Here is a 20,590-nt window from a genome sequence, read left to right as displayed (position 1 = left end):
TCCCACTAATTATGACAGAAATGATGATACATTTAAATGACTTGGATGTTTTATAGGTATGATCTCATGAAACCTTGAGAGAAACTGAATGACGAATGAAACTATTGTTCCTGTTTCACACAGAAGAAAACTGAGGTTAAAAGGGGTAAAGTAATTTTGCATGGCATGAAGTAGAAATTCAAAGTACAGGAATTTGAACTTGGTTCTGTCCTTTTCTGAAGCCCTTGACCACTATAGACTCAAACATCACCTTGTTTTTCCACTCATTCAACACCTTTTTTTTAAATTATCTAATAGATAGGCACTCATCATGAGCTCCTGTTCTCATTCTGCAAATGGTGAAGCTCTCTATTGTCCTGACCCCACAGTTCCTGTCCCATGACCAGGGCCAGCTCACCAAGGAGCTGCAGCAGCACATAAAGTCAGTGACATGCCCATGCGAGTACCTGAGGAAGGTGAGTGCAGACAGATGGGGCCTGGTGCCCTTGAGCAGTTCCCGGGTCTCAGCTGCCACACATCTCATAGCGGGTGATGCTGGGGGAAGCTTACACAGTCACAGTACTGGCTTCTTCCTCTTTTTCTTTCCATACAAGTGGCTTAGGGATGGGGTAGAGTAGTTGACTTATTTGGATGAAAACCACTATCTTCTGTAAGAAACTCAAAAGGAATCATTGCTGGCATGGTAACCTAAAGAAAAACAACCAGACAAGTGCCCAACGACACTTAAAAAGGTTATTTATTATCTTGCCAAGTTTAGGCTGGGCATGGTGACTCATGCCTGTAATCCCAGCATTTTGGGAGGCTGAGGCTGGTGGATCACCTGAGGCCAGGACTTTGAGACCAGCCTGACCAATATGGCAAAACCTCATCCCTACTAAAAATACAAAAATTAGCCGGGCATGGTGGTGTGAGCCTGTAGTCCCAGCTACTCAGGAGGCTGAGACAGGAGAATTGCTTAGATTCAGGAGGTGGAGGTTTTAGTGGGCCGAAATCACACCATTGCACTCCAGACTGTGCGACAGAGCGAGACTCTGTCAAAAAAAAAAAAAAATTATCCTGCAAAATTTGAAAAGGAAATTCAAATCAACAGCTTCTAAACAACTTTTTAACATGACTCATAATAAGAAATACATTCTATAGTACATATATATGTTCTATAATTTTGAATAAAAGAATTAACCACATCACATTTATTTTACAACATGTAATACATATTTTTTATTCTCCTTCATTTGTTTTGAATGCTCTGTGCAGTCTACAAAAAGTCCAATAGTAATAATTAAATTAGTCATTAAGTTGAACATTATCTTGTCTTTTAAAATGATAATCTCAAAAATGATCTTTTATTTTTGAGATTTATATAGATACACACACACACACACACACACACACACACACACACACACACACACACACACACATATATATATATAGAGAGAGAGACAGAATTTCACTCTGTCGCCCAGGCTGGAGTGCAATGGCACAATCTTGGCTCACTGCAACCTCCGTCTCCCGGGTTCAAGCAATTCCTCTGCCTCAGCCTCTGAGTAGCTGGGACTACAGGTGTGCACCATCATGCCCAGCTAATTTTTGTATTCTTAGTAGAGATGGGGTTTCACCATATTGGCCAGGCTCGTGTCAACTCCTGACCTCGGAATCTGCCCACCGTGGCCTCCCAAAGTGCTGGGACTATAGGTGTGAGCCGCTGCACCCGGTCCAAGATAAAATTATTTTAACAATATACTATGAAGAGAAAAACACTGGCTATGAAAGAATATGCATAGTTTTACCCTGTTTAAAAATAAAGATTGAAAGAATACATATGCAAATAAGTTTACTTTTATTTTTGATAATACTTTACTGCATTGTCTGAATATTGACAATCAGTATGCATTATGAAGCTACATGGCTAACATTGAGTACTCACTGTGTGTGCCAGGCCCTGGGTTCAATGCTCTACATGCACTTATATTTCATTTAATTCCCTCTGCAACCTGAGATGGTATAGCCACCTCATTTTACAGAGTTGAAACTGAGGCTCAGAGACTGAAAGTTAAGCCTGAGGTTACAGTCAATAAGAGGCAGAGCTGGAACTGAAACCTACGTGTGTCTGACCACCAGTTCATGTTCTGACGGCAGGCTAGTCTGCATCACAGAGTGTGGGGTAGATGGTGCATGCCTGCTAGGATGGGCTAGGTATCACTGTAGGTAACAAACAGCCCCAAATGATGGAAATGTACACCACTGAAGGCTCTTTTCCTGCCCATGCTGCACATCCTCCATGGCTCTCCTGTGCCCTGTGCCCCACATGCCCTCATCCTGCCACAAGAATAAAGGAGCAGCCTCCATATGGGAGCTGTCAGCTGCCCTAAGAGATGAAGGAGAGGGTGGCCAGTCTCAATGGCTCCCAACTCTTTTGCCTCGAGGTGACACGCTTCACTTCCACTCACATCTCCTGGGTCAAAGCAAATCCCATGGGTACATCCACTTTCAAGTGGCCCAGGAGAGAAACTGAAATACCCGGTGGACTCCATTACGGCCGTCATATAGTGTCAGCCTGCATGGGAGACTGTGGAGGGGCAGAGGAGGAGAGTGGGGAACTGATGGGAAATGACAGGAGGACTAAGTCACCGCAGATTTGCTTTATCTTCAGCCAGGTGGAGTTTGTCCCAGAGCTGCACAAAATCATCACCAGCATGATTAAACAGAGTAGACTTCAGAAAAAGCAGTTTGGTCGGATGTAATCAGCAGTGAACTCAGAATCAATTGAGTGACATTGAGTCAGTAAACCTCTGACTGCCTCAGTTACCCCATATGATAGTTTTGAGGATGGGAACATTGAGAGAGTTGATTTGGAAGGATATCAAGAGTAAAAATTCCAACATTTTAGTTCCTTTAAGTGAAATCCAGGCACTGTCTTTCCTACAAGTCTCCTGTTCCTTTCAGATTGCACAGGTGAGAGTGCTCAGATTAGGGCTGGAGGTTGTAAACCATTGCTCCCACACTGACAGTGCCCCCGTGTCGTGCATGTATTCTGTGCATTTTCCTGTGCTAAACACTCTCCCAAAACATCGTGGGGCCTGATTCTTCCTCTTTGTTCCAATGGCCCTGGGTGACTCAAGTGCCCATTCAATGACCAGGACACAGAGGTCTTAGAGAGATGCTCCATGAGGCCCCAGGTGCGAGCCTGTACCCTGCCGGAGCATGAGGCAAGGGACAGGGCATCGTCTGTGGGGATAGTGGGGGTAGTGGGGGTAGTGGTCAGCCAGACTTGGTGACTCTACTTGCTCACCAGACGATCCTACACCTGCCACCTCCGATGGATCCACTGCCTCTGTGCCTGCCTGTACTGCTGATGCTCCAGTGGATAACTCAGCATCCCAGCCTAGGCCCAATGCCACTGAAGATGGACCTGCCCTCTGGGGACCCAGGAGTCCTACCACTCAGCTGTCCCCAGGAGTGCCCAGACCCTCATTCTTATCCAGGACCTAGGAGCCCTACCCCTGGCCTTCCCTCATCAGCCATAAATGATGATTTACTGCTGTTACCATCATCACTGCCTTCAGTGACCAAGGGCCTTCCAAGGTGCCAGCTCTGGAACGAAGGATGCCCTTGGGAGGTGATGACACTCAGGTACACGGGTGCTCAACAGATTGCTTCCTCCTATCCTCAGACGGTCTTTGCATGCATGCAGCCATTGGCACTCCCATTGTATGGAAGGAAACCAGCCCAGGGTCACACAGCTGCTCAGCAGCAACATAGCTGGTCTCAAATCTAAGGTGCCTGGCCATGCCTCCATGAGGGACCGCCTGCAAGGGAGGTTGATCCTGGCTTTGGGGAGCCTTTCCTGGGCTGCACGAATAACCTCCATTGTTCGAGACCCCAAACTCCGCTCACATCTTCCTTTCCCTGTCTCTGCTTGGGCTATGATCACGGTGACTCTAGCAGGCCTTCATGGACATTATAGTACTCTCTGCCATTCACTTTTGCTCTAATCTGACTTCAACCCCCACTTACTTGGTCTCTCCTTTTACAACCAACACAACCGAAATCTAGGGCTTCTTTTTTTTTTTTTTTTTTTTTTTTTTTGAGACAGTCTCATTCCATTCTGTCACCCAGGCTGGAGTGCAATGGTACGATCTCGGCTCACTGCAACCTCCGCCTCCCGGGTCCAAGGGATTGTCCTGCCTCAGCCTCCTGAGTAGCTGGGATTACAGGTCTGTGCCACCATGCCTGGCTAATTTTTGTATTTTTAGTAGAGACGGGGTTTCACCATGTTGGTCAGGCTGGTCTCGAACTCCTAACCTCGTGATCTGCCTGCCTCAGCCTCCCAAAGTGCTGGGATTACAGGCGTGAACCACCATGCCCAGCCAAATCTAGGGCCGGAACATGGCTGCAGCATATAAAAAGAATTGAATTCCATACTTTTGTTAACCCTGTTTTTTGTTTGTTTGTAGTTGTTGCTGTTTTTGAGACAGAGTCTCGCTCTGTCGCCTAGGCTGGAGTGCAGTGGTGCAATCTCGGCTCACTGCAGACTCTGCCTCCCGGGTTCAAACTATTCTCCTGCCTCAGCCTCCCAAGTAGGTGGGACTACAGGCGCCCACCACCACACCCGGCTAATTTTTGTATTTTATTAGAGACAGGGTTTCACCATATTGGCCAGGCTGGTCTGGAACTCCTGACCTTGTGATCCGCCCACCTCGGCCTCCCAAAGTGCTGGGATTACAGGCATGAGCCACCACACCCAGCCCCTGTTTTGTTTTTGTTTTGCTTGCTTCTTAGGGTTGTTTTTCTATTTATGGTAAAGGCATTGGCTTTCCATTTGTAGCATCAATAGAATATTTCCTGTTTACAATAACCTTATGTCATAGTAAATGGCAAAGGGATTTAAAGCAGTGGTTTTCAGCTGCCAGAGGCCTGAGAGAGTTTGGGCATACTCTGTGTGATCAGGCAGAAGGCCTGCGGGAAGTTTAGCAGAGGACAGGGCCAGGAAAGGTGATGGACAGTGGGGGTCTGTCCTGGTCACCAGGCCCCTGGGTCCTGCCCACCTGCTTGGAGCTCCCCACCCATCACACATGATGCTGCCAAGCCCTCTGGGTATTGTGGGCAAATACCTTAGGAGAGAAGCTGATGAACTTTGTTTCTTGAAATGCACAGATTCCTTGGACATCCCTGAGAGGTCAATCATGAAGGTCAACTTGGTTTTCTCCCCCTCATTTGGGTTCAGAATTTAAAGTCCACACACACAGGCAGTAAGATGATATAGATAAGGACATCATCACTCGGTTTCGGATGTTAAAATGTCTAGGTGGGTTGGGGTGATTTGAGATCACACAATCTTGTGCCACAAAGAGGAATTCCCAGGACAGAGGGAGACATTTTATTGCCATGTTATGATCTTATCATTGAGTTGAAAGGCAATCTTGTTTCATTTTGGATTCTTTCTTGTGTTTATGTCTTATAAGGGCACTTTGAATTTCCGAGCAAATAATAATTTTGAATTAGCTTTTAATCATTGACTTCTAGCACAGTTATATGATCAGAAACATGCTGTGTGATTTGATTGCTCTCAAATATATTGAGATTTGCTGGAACAAAATAAGTCAGGTTAATTTTTGTAAATGTACCATGCATGCTTAAAATGAATGTATCTACATTTGTTCCTGAGATACAGGTTGATGGACGGATGGCTACATGGATGTGATGGAGATGGTTTACTATCGGGACCTTCCGCATCCTGCTGATGTTTTGTTGCTTAGGATATGAATGGCTGAGCGGAGGCTGTAAAACCTGGCACTCTGCTTGGGTATGAGGTTCTTCCTGCCATCCTGCCATCATTTGTTTTTTATGTTTTGTCACCAAATTGACTTTGAGGAACCCTGGGAGCTCAGGAAGGAAGGAGCGCCCAGAAGCAGGGACAGGGAGCTGGTTGGGGAGGACCAGAAATCAGGTTTGTGAAGGTTCCGGAGAGGACCTGTCTTCGGGAGGAGTGTGGGAGACTGAGATGGGGGAGGGGTCATTGGAATGATGCGGGCGCTACTTGGCATTGTCCATTGTGAGGCACCACCGGAGTCATCAGGGACTGGTGGAGAGGGAGTCTAAAGCCCCAGGGTAGCTAAGGGAGGGCCCAGACCGAAGAAGGTTTGGTGGATAGCAGAACCTTTTTGTCTCCCTCTAATTGCTCCTAAGCCTCACGCTCCCTTGCCCCGCGTGTCCTGTTGCTTCCCTGATCTCCGTGACCTGTAGCTAAACCTTCCACCAGCGCTTGAGAACTTAATTTGAACTGGATCCTTTCCCAGACCCCTTTCTTCTTCTCCTCCTCCTCCACCTCCTCCAGGTGCCCAACAGCCCCCTTCTCCTCCTTTCCCTTCCCTTACTTCCCCCCTGCCCTAAGCCACCTCCACCTCTGTCCTGGCCGCCTCAGGGCGCCCTGAGAGGACCAGGACATGCGGGTGCGGTGGATGCTCTTTTGGCTCCTCTTTGGGCTCCTGCTGGAATTTATCAGCCATCAGTGCATCTGTGTAAGTAGACGCTGGACCCGCGGGGTTTCTTCCTTTTTACTGGGCTGTGTCACGCGGCATGAAATTACACAGCTCAGGCCTGTAATCCCAGCACTTTAGGGGGCCGAGGTGGGCAGATCACTTGAGTCCAGGAGTTGAAGACTAGCCAGGGCATCATAGCGAAACCCCATCTCTACAAAAAATTCCAAAAAAGATTAGTTGGGCCTGGTGGTGCGTACCTGTTACCCCAGTTACTGGAGAGGCTGAGGTGGGAGGATCGCTTGGGCCCAGGAGCTGGACGTTGCAGTGAGCCGAGATGGCCCCGCTGCACTCTTGTCTCTAACAAACAAAATGGACCAAAACAAAGTGAAATGTCATTTGATTTGTGTCATCTGGTTTGATGACTTTTCTTTTTTTTTTTTTTAGACAAGAGTCTCACTCTGTCGCCCAGGCTGGAGTGCAGTGGCAAGATCTCGGCTCACTGCAACCTCCGCTTCTGGGGTTCAAGCAATTGTCCTGCCTCAGCCTCCTGAGTAGCTCAGATTACAACGCCTGGCTAAGTTTTGTATTTTTAGTAGACCACCACGCCTGGCTAATTTTTGTGTTTTTAGTAGAGACGGGGTTTCACCATGTTCGCCAGGATAGTCTCCATCTCTTGACCTCGTGATCCGCCTGCCTCAGCCTCCCAGTGCTGGGATTACAGGCGTGAGCCACCGCGCCTGGCCAAAATATATAACCTTAAGTGTAAGTTTACTAACTTTGGAAAGTACATACACCAGCATAAACCGACCCCCTTTCAAGATCTACATTATTTTATTTATTTATTTATTTTTTTGAGACAGTTTCTCCCTTGTTGTCCAGGCTGGAGTGCAATGGGGCCAATATCAGCTCACCGCAACCTCTGCTTCCCAGGTTCGAGCGATTCTCCTGCCTCAGCCTCCCGAGTGGCTGGGATTACAGACATGTGCCACCACTCCCAGCTAATTTTGTATTTTTAGTAGAGATAGGGTTTCTCCATGTTGGCCAGGCTGGTTTTGAACTCCCGACCTCGGGTGATCCGCCCGCCTCGGCCTCCCAAAGCGTTGGGATTACAGGCGTGAACCACCGTGCCCAGCCAAGATCTACACTATTATGTCACCCCAGAAAGTGAACTCTCACTCTTCCCAGCCAGTCTCTTTCTTATCATAGGTTAGCTTGCTTATTCTGGAATTTCGCGTATACAGATGCATGCCATGCCATAGATACTCTTTTGTGTCTGCTTTGTTCTGCTCAACACCATGTTTCTGAAATCATTACCATTGTTGTATGGTTCTCTAACTCCATCATTTCCATTTCAGACTCAGCATATGCTGAGTTCAACCTGTTGAAGGGCTATCTCTGTTTAATTCACCATCTTGAAAGAAACATTTAAAATTGAGATGTTTTCAAGAATATATAGTTAAATCCTGAGGAATCAACGTAGAAATGTTATCACAAGCTGTCTGAACTTACTCAGGGGAAGTCTTCGTCTTCACTCACATAAGAGTCTAATGGAATTAATATCAACAATCTTAGAGAAATCCCACACTATTCATGCCATTTTCATGATCTCCACCTTGATAATTTTTTTTTTTTTTTTGAGACAGAGTCTCGCTCTGTCACCCAGGCTGAAGTGCAGTGGTGCGATCTCGGCTCACTGCAACCTCTGCCTCCCGGGTTCAAGTGATTCTTCTGCCTCAGCCTCCCAAGTAGCTGGAACTATAGGCGCGTGCCACCATGCCCTGCTAATTTTTTGTATTTTTAGTAGAGATGGGTTTCACCGTGTTAGCAAGGATGGTCTCAATCTCCTGATCTCGTGGTCCACCCACCTTGGCCTCCCAAAGTGCTGGGATTGCAGGCGTGAACCACCACGCCCGGCCCACCTTGTTAATTTTTAAGCACTAAAATTTGATACTTATTTGTGAATGAAGTAATCTCTTCATTGTATTGTTTTTTTTACTTATGCTGAGATTTAAATGACAAAGATTCATATAATCTGAGAAAGAAGTATTATTTAGAGGGATTCTTTTACCATGTGATATATAATAAATGCATCCAATGTTATACATCAATTTAAAAAACAAGTAAATAACTTTAAAGAAAAGATAACTACTGGCCAGGTGCAGTGGCTCACACCTGTATTCCCAGCACTTTGGGAGGCCGAGGCAGGTGGATCATGAGGTCAGGAGTTGGAGACCAGCCTGGCCAAGATGGTGAAACCCTGTTTCTACTAAAAATACAAAAATTAGCCGAGGGTGGTGGCAGGCGCCTGTAATCCCAGTTACTCAGTAGCTGAGGCAGGAGAATCGCTTGAACCTGGGAGGCGGAGGTTGCAGTGAGCTGAGATCATGCCACTGCAATCTAGCCTGGGTGACAGAGCAAAACTTTGTCTCAAAACAAAAAGAAAAGAAAAGATAAGATAATTACTTTATACTTAGCTTGTCTTACCCATGAGTGACGGGCTGCATGGCCCAGGACAGTTTTGAATGCAGTTCAACACAAATTTGTAAACTTTCTTAAAACATTAGGAGATTTTGGCCAGGTACAGTGGCTCATGCCTGTAATCCCAGCACTTTGGGAGGCTGAGGCGGGCAGATTACCTGAGGTCAGGAGTTCGAGACCACCCTGACCAACATGGCAAAACCCCATCTCCACAAAAAATACAAAAATTTGCTGAGTGCACTGTCAGGCACCTGTACTCCCAGCTACTCAGGAGGTGAGGCAGGAGAATCACTTGAACCTGAGAGGCAGAGGTTGCAGTGAGCCGAGAGCACACCACTGTACTCCAGCCTGGGTGACAGAGTGAGACCCCATCTCAAAAACAACAAACAAAAACAAAAACAAAAACAAAAAAATGGCTGGGCACGGTGGCTCACACCTGTAATCCCAGCACTTTGGGAGGCCGAGGCAGGCAGATCGCCTGTCAGGAGTTCAAGGCCAGACTGGCCAACATGGTGAAACCTCATCTCTACTAAAAATACAAAAATTAGTCGGGCATGGTGGCAGAGACCTGTAATCTCAGCTACTCGGGAGGCTGAGGCAGGAGAATGGCTTAAGCCCAGGAGCTGGAGGTTGCAGTGAGCCGAGATTGCACCACTGCACTCCAGCCTGAGCGACTGAGTGGAGCGGAACTCTGTCTCAAAAAAAAAAAAGAGGTTTTTTTTAGATCCTCAGCTATTGTTAGTGTTAGTGTATGTTATGTGTGGCTCAAGACAACTTTGCTTCTTTTAATATAGGCAGGGAAGTCAAAAGATTGGATATCCCTGCTTTATACCAAGAAAGACAACACCCCACATTGGCAATGCCTACAAACACTACTAGCCATCTGAAAAACATGTGACTTCTAACTTCTGTTCTTTTTTGTAGCAGTGGAATCCCACGGTGATATCTGAGGGATGTGGTTACCTTTTGGAGGAGGTTGACGGTTTCTAAGGATGATTCTTTCTGAGTGAAATATTGTCAGTGTCATTGACCTTTTCATTATTTCAACTATTATTATTCCAGGTTATCAATACTCTGGCTGACCATCATCATTGTGGGACTGGCTTTCGTGGAAGTCCTTGGTTACATTTCATTATTGCGTTTCCGAGAAGTTATAAAGTTTTCATTATCCTCTGGACAGTTTACCTTTGGGTGAGTATACTAACTTTCTGTAGAGGTATACTTGTAATCACAAATAAGAATAAATTATATAAAACAATTCACGTTTCTGGACTTCATTATGAATATGTGGTTTTACCCAAAAAATCAGGGAAATGATTTATTAGCATAAGAATTATGAAAATATCTGCCATTTGCATTACAAAAATTAAATAGGTCGGTGTTTGTTTAATAGAATGTCAACAGAGCTTTTGGTGAAAAATAAGCTTTTTTAACCTTTGTGCTATTTATTACAAATGGAGTATGAGGTTTCGTCACTTAAAAAGGAAATTCTTTCTAAACTCTTCTGCTTTATAGTTCTATCGTATGGGTGGAAGGAAAGCTTCCAATCTCCTCTCTGAAGATTCACTGCAGAAATGAGCTGACAACAGACAGCTTAACAGGAAAAGAAAAACATAGAACAGGCATAAACATGGGAACAAGCTGAAAAATGAGACTGCTAGAAGGGCCGGATGGTTGATGCTTAAAGAGCACCCTCTTCTGAGGGGAGAGGGAGATAGATGGAGATGTAGGCCATTTAGAGGGGCAGCAAATGATTTTTAGGGGAAATGAAAGAGGCCAAGGAACAAACAATTGGCCTGAGACAAAGTTCCTCTGAGGTCATAGGGACGAGGTGACAAACTGCCGGAAGGTGAAGGGCAGAACTGCACTGCGTCTCATGATGCAGAGAAAGCCCCAGAGAATCTCTTAGAACTGCCCTCCAAGAGAATCAATGAAAAGTGTGTCTGGGCAGGGTAATTTTGAATGACATCATTCAAAGTGCATTTTCCCACTTGCAACTGGAGAGAGATCAATATGGCAAAAGTCTGTACTTGGTAAGAATTTGGCTGCTAAGTTGTGCCATAATTTGTCTTTTGAGCCTTTTTTCCTTTGGGTAAGTTGAGCTCTACATTTTGTCTTGCCATTCATGACAGTAAAAATGTGGTTGTCTGAGGGCTGAACCTCCTTCTGAACAATGATCCAAGATAAAAGTACTAATACCACAATGCTTTTTTATATTCAAGGGAATATAAAGTATGTTTCAGTTTTACCACCTAGATAATTACACGTCATTTGGCACTGCCTTTCAAGATATGTAGAAAACAGAAAATATATGAGTTATGAAGATATCTAGGCACATTTAACATTCTCTATGCCACTTAGTCCTGAACAGAGAATTTTCGGTATAAATTGGAGGAAGCTTTTTTTTTTTTTCCTTCCTTTTCTCACCCCCGAGACAAGTCTCCCTCTGTTGCCCAGGCTGGAGTATAATGGTGTGATCTCGGCTCACTGCAACCTCCACCTCCTGGCTTCAAGCGATTCCCCTGCCTCAGCCTCTCAAGTAGCTGGGATTACAGGTGCCCACCACATGCCCAGCAAATTTTTGTATTTTTAGTAGAGTCGGGGTTTTACCATGTTGGCCAGGCTAGTCTCAAAACCCGACCTCAAATGATCCACCCGCCTCAGCCTCCCAAAGTGCTGGGATTACAAGCGTGAGCCACCACGTGAGCCAGGGGAAGTTTTTAAATTTACCACTTTTTAACAATTCCATTTAGGAAAGTTCAGTTGAGCTGTTGGACTTGGACAACTTCACACCTCTCATCTTTGTCCTTGTCATCTAGTCATCTATACCATTACCTCCTAAGCAGGGACATCATGGGTGCCATGAAGCATTCATGCGTGATGGCATTTCTTTGCTTATCATTTCTTCATGTGTTTGACATTTCTCCTAGCTCCAAACTGGGCCAGCTACCTTTCCTATGAAATCTAGCAGTAGTTGTGGGATTGACGTGGTTGCTCTTTTCATCTTTTTAGATTACCCATTGCTTCTCTCGAAATCCTAGTACATGATTTTTTTTTTTTATCCTATGTGCAGAAATCAGGAAAAAACAAATTCTACAAAGAATTTGAAAGATATTATTTCAGGCCAGGTGTGGTGGCTCATGCCTGTAATCCCAGCACTTTGGGAGGCTGAGGCAGGTGGATCACTTGAGGTCAGGAGTTCAAGACCAGATGGGCCAACATGGTGAAACCCCATCTCTACTAAAAAGACAAAAATTAGCCAGGCATGGTAGCAGGCACCTGTAATCCCAGCTACTTGGGAGGCCGAGGCACAAGAATCGCTTGAATCTGGGAGGTGGAGGTTGCCGTGAGCCAAGGTAGCGCCACTGCACTTCAGCATGGTTGAGAGTGACACTCCATCTCAAGAAAAAAGTCATTTCAATGACTACCTCAGGAGATTCATAGGTATCTGACCCACATCTGAGATGGGATTTGCATTGCATTTTAGCTATGATGAGAACAAATATTTAATATCTTAGAAGATTAAAAGCACACTGTGATAATATGGAAATCTTGGTGGGAATTCAGTCATTAGTGAGAATGTTTTGCGTTAAGTTCAAACCAGCCTCAATGAAGCTGATGTGAGGGAAGGGAAAGTGAACTCTGAGTAGAGCAGGGACAGAAGGAAGATGCTCCAGTGCAGATCAGGAAGGAGCAGGGGGTGAAATGTTACAAAATTCTAGAACTCAGAGAGCTGAAGGTAATTACTTCCTTTTCAAGTTGTGAAACATGTTAACCTGTGGTAAAATACTTATAAGATGATAATAACCATCTAACCGTGTTGAAGTGTACAGTTTAGTTGTGTGAAGTATATTCATGTCATTTTTTTTTTTTGAGACGGAGTCTCACTCTGTCACCAGGCTGGAGTGCAGTGGTGGGATCTTGGCTCACTGCAACCTCTGCCTCCTGGGTTCAAGCAGTTCTCCTGCAACCTCTGCCTCCTGGGTTCAAGCAGTTCTCCTGCCTCAGCCTCCCGAGTAGCTGGGACTACAGGCGTGCATCACCATGCTCAGCTAATTTTTGTATTTTTAGTAGAGATGGGGTTTCACCATGTTGCCCAGGATGGTCTCCATCTCTTGACCTTGTGATTCACCCGCCTCGGCCTCCCAAAGTGCTGGGATTACAGATGTGAGCTACCGCACCTGGCCTATTTTTTTTTTTTTTTTTTTGAGACAGAGTTTCAATTTTGTTGCCCAGGTTGGAGTGCAATGGCACAATCTCAGCTCACCACAATCTTTTCCTGCTGGGTTCAAGTGATTCTCCTGCCTCAGCCTCCCGACTAGCTGGGATTACAGGCATGCACCACCATGCCTGGCTAATTTTGTATTTTTAGCAGAGACAGCTTTTCTCCATGTTGGTGAGGCTGGTCTCAAACTCCCGACCTCAGGTGATCCGCCTGCCTCGGCCTCCCAAAGTGCTGGGATTACAGGAGTGAGCCACCGTGCCAGCCTCATGTCATTCTTGTGTGTGTGTGTGTGTGTGTGTGTGTGTGTGTGTGTGTGTGTGTGTGTGACAGAGTCTCATTTTGTCGCTCAGGCTGGAGTGCAGTGGTGTGATCTCGGCTCACTGCAACCTCTGCCTCCCAGCTTCAAATGGTTCTCTGCCTCAGCCTCCCGAGTAGCTCGGATTACAGGTGCCCGCTGCCATGCCCAGCTAATTTTTGTATTTTTAGTAGAGACGGGGTTTCACCATCTTGGCCAGGCTGGTCTTGAACTCCTGACCCCGTGATCCACCTTCCTTGGCCTCCCAAAGTACTAGGATTATACGCATGAGCCACCGTGCCCAGCCGTCATTCTTATATTATTATTTCCTAGATGTCTCTCCTGAAGACTATCTTGTGGTCTCGAAATGGACATGATGGATCCACGGATGTACAGCAGAGAGCCTGGAGGTCCAACCGCTGTAGACAGAAAGGTATGGCTCTGTTGGAGTCCCCATAGTGTGGAAATGAGTTTGCCCTGGAAAGGGAAAGAACAGCTTCTTGCCCTCAGGTTTCTCACCTTCTCCTCTCCTCACTCTCACCAAGGGCTGAGGTCCATTTGTATGCACACAAAGAAAAGAGTTTCTTCCTTTCCAGGAAATAAAATTGGCCTGAAAGACGTCATTACTCTATGGAGACATGTGGAAACAAAAGTTAGAGCTAAAATCCGTAAGAGGAAGGTGACAACGAAAATCAACCATCATGACAAAATCAATGGAAAGAGGAAGACCGCCAAAAACCAGTAAGATGTGCCTTGACACAAATACTGTTGTATGAACCATGTGCCAATCAAAGTAGACAACTGTAAAGTCCTTGAGAATATTTTCTACAATATTTGTGGCAAATTCAGTGGGTTCAAAATTGAGTTTGTCCTTTCTGCTTCATTAGTTTAAGCTGTATAATTCCTTTCCCTTCCTACATTCTTGTTTGTCATTTTTCGGGGGAAGAGGAGTTGCTAGTACTGGCATTGGTTTTCCTTTCTCTCTCTCTCTCTCTTTTTTTTTTTCTTCCTGAGATGGAGCTTTGCTGTTGTTGCCCAGGCTGTAGTGCAATGGCACAATCTCAGCTCACTGCCTTTTGGGTTCAAGCAATTCTCCTGCCTCAGTCTCCCAAGTAGCTGGGATTACAGGTGCCCACCACCACGCCCAGCTAATTTTTGTATTTTTACTAGAGATGGGGTTTCACCATGTTGTCCAGGCTGGTCTCGAACTTCTGACCTCAGGTAATCCACCTGCCTCAGCCTCCCAAAGTGCTGGGATTAGAGGCGTGAGCCACCACAGCCAGCCTTTTTTTTTTTTTTTTTTTTTTTAATTTTGAGATAGAGTCTCGCTCTGTCACCCAGGCTGGAGTGCTATGGTGCAATCTTGGCTCACTGCAACCTCTGCCTCCCAGTTTGAAGCAATTCTGCCTCAGCTTCCCGAGTAGCTTGGATTACAGGAGTGTGCCACCACATTTGGCCAATTTTTTTTTTTTTTTTTTTTTTTGAGACAGAGTCTCACTCTGTCACCCAGGCTAGAGTGCAGTGGCATGATCTTGGCTCACTGCAACCTCCACCTCCCAGGTTCAAGCGATTCTTATCCCTCAGCCTCTTGAGTAGCTGGGACTATAGTCATATGCCACCATGCCCGGATAATTTTTGTATTTTTAGTAGAGGCGGGGTTTCACCATATTGGCCAAGCTGGTCTAGAACTCCTGACATCATGATCCGCACACCTCCGGCCTCCCAATGTGCTGGGATTACAGGCGTGAGCCACGGTGCCCGGCCCAATTTTTGTATTTTTAGTAGAGACAGGGGTTCACCATGTTGGCCAGGCTAGTCTTGAACTCCTGACCTCAGGTGATCTGCCTACCTCAGCCTCCCAGTGTGAGCCACCACACCCAGCCTGGATTGTTGAATTCAATGCTTGGGTCACCTCCAGATTCATTTTCACAGTCTTTCATGTTTTGGTCATATTACATTGTATTTTGCTGCCATATGACTGATCTTTTTTTGTTAAATGTGAGATACTTGTTACAAAATATTTAGCAATGAATTGAGGCCTAGCAGCATGTTATCTTGCTGCAGAAGAGATGGGAGTCTACTTCTGGGGGATGGTCAGGGGTCCTCCATACAGGCTGCAATTGAGGTCGTCGGTGCAGGCTCAGTCCCTACAAAGGCCAGGGTATTTCCTGTCCACCTTTATTCTGATGCATGACTCTTCTGGGTCTCAACCAGAGCCAGTGGACTTCAGTATGGGTAGCTTTCATTGGCAGACCCTCAATCCACTTGTTTTCCATCTAATCCCACGCATGTGTGCAAAAGCTGCTGTGCTTCTTTGCATCTCAGTAGTTCCTTCTGGAATTCAGCAATGAAACTCAGGGAAATGGGTTCCAAATGCGAGGCTGACTTTCGTCCTGGGTTTCCTTCTTCTCCATCTTCACCTCATGTCTGTTTACTGCCATGTTAGCAATTTGATGTATTCAATCATGGGTTTTATATTCTGTTTGGTGTCCCCCATTGTTCTCATCGGAGATCAGAAGCTTCAGATGCACTTATGTCAACTCAAGAGTAGAATGCTTCCTTAGCTTCCCTCCAGAGTCAGGTTTTGTGTTTCTAGTTCCCAAGTGCACAGCAGGAGTAGTGATGTCCTCACTGGCTTCTCATTTGCATTAAACTGTGAGCTTCTTTAGCGTGGGGACAGGACCCTGCTCCCATTGCATTCTCAGCACCTCACCACACACTCCTTGTTTGAGGCCACTCCAGACAGCATGTGCTGAAGGATGCCCTGTGGTCAGAAACAAGTTCATTAACTTTCTCTTTGAAGTGTTTTAGTCCCTGTTTCCTAGCGTTCTGGGAATTTTACACATCCTTCCTATAAAACCAAGTATCAGGTGAGATCCTTAGGATCAGGACCATGAATCAAGTGGTGTGAGGGCAACACAGCAAACTTACCCTCTTTAGGCCATTTCCTTTTTCTGCCCTCAATCTCTGTGAACTGAACCTTGTTAAAGTCAGTCAACACCAGGGTGGATGGTTTGCCGTTGTCACCTATTTTCAGGACATAACACCCTGACTTAGGAGCCATTCCAATCATTTGTAATTCAATAGATGTGCCCAGCATTCAGATTGCCTTTTCTCTCAACCAGGATCTTTAAAGTCGATCACAAGAGTTCCAGTCCTGAATCATGGCAAAGTGCAGTAGTGAACTGCGGGGTTAATGACACCATATTCTGGAAGGATCTCTCTATGGCTGATGGTCTCAGTTCCGGCATCAGCCTCTGACTGAGAATCAGGTCTCACACAGGAGGAGTCAGATGAGGAGCAATCCTCTGCTTCCGATGGAGTTAGTTGTGATGAATTGGTGAGGTCTGGTTTTTCACACTGAACTAAAATGAGCTTTCGCTGTGTCAAGCACAAGACTGACCCCAGAGACACACATAGTGCACCTCATAGAAGCTTTTAATAGTCTTTATATTTACTAAAGAATAGGACTAACTATGGAACTATGAAGATGAGCTGGAAATGACAGGTGACTTGCCAGCAGGCCAGAGTGTGACTTTTTTTTTGTCCCTCAATGGGAGGTGTCAATTCTCCCTTCGGTTGTGAGAATCAGTTGGTTCATTTGTGGGAAGGTTGCAGGGGGGATCTTTGAATCACAGCCTTCAGATGCCAGAAGGGCAGAGGGAATCCCACACGGGCTGGTGGATCATGTGTGTGCATTTCTCTCCCTTCTAATCTGAGGAAACTAAGCATGAAAGAATGTGAGCATGCAGAAAAGGAGAGGCAGGTATCAGAGGCAGAGGAAAATGGGAAATTGGATATGAAAGAAATACACACCTACAAGTGAGTTCAGAAACTGAACCCCACCCTCTTGGGAAACGCCCATTGGAGTGTTGTTTTTAACCTCTGTACAGTGTTTAGACCCAGTAAATGCAGAAATAGAAACAAATGGTCAGAAGACATATCGAGAGAGAGAGAGAGAGAGTTCACAAAACAGAAAACAAAGTACCTTAATATTTACCAGTGACCAAAAGATGTGAAGTAGCAAAACGTCTCCTGACCCCATTGCCAGCTAGACTGTGTGGAAACTCGGTTCATACCAGCCATTCTAGGGGTGGGGTGAGTTGTTGTCATCCTTAGGAAAGTGTGTTGTTGTAGGATCAACCACATCCTTCAAAAGGACTATGCCTGTTTATAAGCCCAGCTGTTTCTGCCCTGTGAAACACGGTAAGGATATTAATACAAAGAGAATACAGCTTTATGATAAAAGATGCTCAATGAAGGATGAATTAGGGATATACTGAGAATGGGGAAGGAAACTATCATCTCAGAAGTCAGCAGGCAGTAAGCAAGAGGAGGAATCAATATAACAACAGTTTGGATCAGACTGTACTGTTTTTTTGTTTTTGTTTTGTTTTTGTTTTTCTGAGATGGAGTCTCGCTGTGTCACCCAGGCTGGAGTGCAATGACGTGATCTTGGCTCACTGCAACCTCCGCCTCCCAGGTTCAAGTGATTCCCCTGCCTCAGCCTCCCGAGTAGCTGGGATTACAGGTGCCTGCCACCACGCCTGGCTAATTTTTTGTCTTTTTAGTAGAGAAGGGGTTTCACCATATTAGCCACAATGGTCTCAATCTCCTGACCTCGTGATCCATCCGCCTCGCCCTCCCAGACTGCTGGGATTACAGGCGTCAGCCACCGTGACCGGCTCAGACTGTACTCTTATAGCCATCTGAAATACGTTTTCTAGGTATAGATAGATTGTGTAAGGGTACAGTTGTGAGGATAACAGAAACATGGCAGATTATTTAAAATCATCCTGAAAGTGGTGCTTTATCTGATGAAAGTGATTGTAATCCATAGGAAAATGTTTCAACGTGTGCAAGAGTTGTGGCGGCGGGCAGAGGACTACCACAAACGCAAAGTAAGGAGCCTCCTCCCCGCAGTTGCAGGATAGTTCAGTGCTGATGCAGATGATGCCACGGCCCTTAGACTCTCTCAACATTCAATTTCTCATGTATTGGCTTTTTCAGATCCCCCCTTCTGCAAGAAAGCCTCTTTGCAACTGGGTAAGTTTGCTTGTTTTCCTTGCTTTTGGACATAGTCTGCCAGGTCAGGACATGGATACATTTTTCTCCCTACAGCTCTGTGCTCAAGCCCTGCAGAGGGAGATGGCAGAGAGAAGGGCTGCCTACAAGCCTCACAGTCCCATCCCTGTTGGTAACCGTGTTGCGCAAAAACACCTTCATCCCCACCCAGTGGGGCCCCTGATCTAATATTCTAAGTGTCAGAGGTTCCGTATTTGTAATAACAAATGGGCCCTGACTGTAAATTAGTGAAGAGTGAATGTAACTTATTACCCACAGGGACAATTCCAAATGAAGGCCTTAAATGATGCTCAGCTAAGCTGGTTCTTGTGTGGCCTCTGTACCTTCAAAAGCTGCCGAGTCCTATGATTACACGTGATGGGACTTGTACACTTGAAGTGAAACACAGTTTTAAAACTTGCTTTGTTTAGAATTCCCACCTCATTTTTCCATGGACAAAAGTATTCTTTATGTCCTAGTGCACTTACAATTTGGTATTACCTGGGAGTGAAAAGAAATATTACAGCCATGCCCAACTGACTTCTTGAGGTAAGATTGTTCTGTCAGAAAACCCTCTCCCAGTTCCCCTGCAGCTCTTCAGGAATCCACATCTCTCCAGAGCTCTTTGTTCTCATGGGTGGCACCTCCAGAGTGAAGAAGATCCTTTGTCAAGAAGGGAAACAGAGGGGAAATGAGAGGGTCCTGCAGGCAGAGCTGGAATCAACTTCCACTCTGCCTCTTGCAAGCTGTGTGACCCTGGGCACAATTTCTCCTTCCTCTGGAAACCTCTGTTTTCTTAGATTTGGAGCAGGGTGGTCACACTGACCTTGCAGAGTTCTGAGAATCAGAGACAGAACATAAAAGGCCTGGAAAACATTCTCCAAAAAGAAGCTGCAACATGTGTGGACAATGGGCTTTTCATGCCTCTCTTACTGTCTGTTGACCTGGTGCAAGAAACATGCTCTGGTGATGGCTGTGAGGGAGGAATGAGGATAGACATAGACACTCCTGTGTCTCAAACATGCTTCTTTATTACTCTGCTATGACTCTGTCTTCCCTGGGGCAGGACCCCAGCCTGCCTACATTTGCAGACAGACACAGTGGCATGTGGAGACAACAGTGTGTCCCAATGACTTTTCTTTACCCCCCAGCTGTCGGCAGTACTCAGTGGAAGGGTGATATTATGACACTGATACTGCTATTTTGAAACCTGGAGGATGGAAAGGTGCAAAAATCTATCACCAAGCAACAGAAGGTGCAGACCGTGTTGGTGGCGGTAATTTTGTCCATCAAATGAATATGTGTGAAAACATTCCCTTCTTCGGCCCTACAGGTCAGAATGGTGGCAGCGGAGCATCGTCATTCTTCAGGATTGCCCTACTGGCCCTACCTCACAGCTGAAACTTTAAAAAACAGGATGGGCCGCCAGCCACCTCCTCCAACTCAACAACATTCTATAACTGATAACTCCCTGAGCCTCAAGACACCTCCCGAATGTCTCCTTCGTCCCCTTCCACCCTCAGTGGATGATAATATCAAGGAGTGTCCTCTTGCTCCTCTTCCACCCTCTCCTCTTCCACCCTCAGTGGATGATAATCTCAAGGAGTGTCTCCTTGCCCCTCTTCCACCCTCTCCTCTTCCACCCTCAGTGGATGATAATCTCAAGACTCCTCCCTTAGCTACTCAGGAGGCCGAGGCAGAAAAACCACCCAAACCCAAGAGGTGGAGGGCGGATGAGGTGTAACAACCACCCAAGCCCAAGAGGCAGAGGGAGGCCGAGGCACAACAATTACCCAAACCCAAGAGGCGGAGGTTGAGTAAGCTGAGAACACGCCATTGCACTCAAGCCTGGGCAACAAGAATAAATCCATGGGTCGAAAAAAAGAAAAAAATCAAAAAATAAAACAAAACCCACACTCTAAAAACAAACTAACAAAGAATAAATAAATAATATAAAAATAAAATAAATACTGCAGTCCTTATGTTATTGCTTTGTTTCAATATCTGGTATGATTGCCTGAGGGACCTGAGGTTTTTAATTGTAGG

The 20,590-nt window shown here is 45.7% G+C and overlaps 1 pseudogene; it reads left to right on the top strand.

The window, feature by feature from the left end:
- Positions 5,744-20,219, top strand: NPIPB1P (nuclear pore complex interacting protein family member B1, pseudogene; annotated as a pseudogene).

The sequence above is a fragment of the Homo sapiens genome, chromosome 18 (genome assembly GCF_000001405.40).
Source record: "Homo sapiens chromosome 18, GRCh38.p14 Primary Assembly".
Lineage (NCBI taxonomy): Eukaryota > Metazoa > Chordata > Mammalia > Primates > Hominidae > Homo > Homo sapiens.
This window is presented reverse-complemented; position numbering and strand designations above follow the sequence as displayed.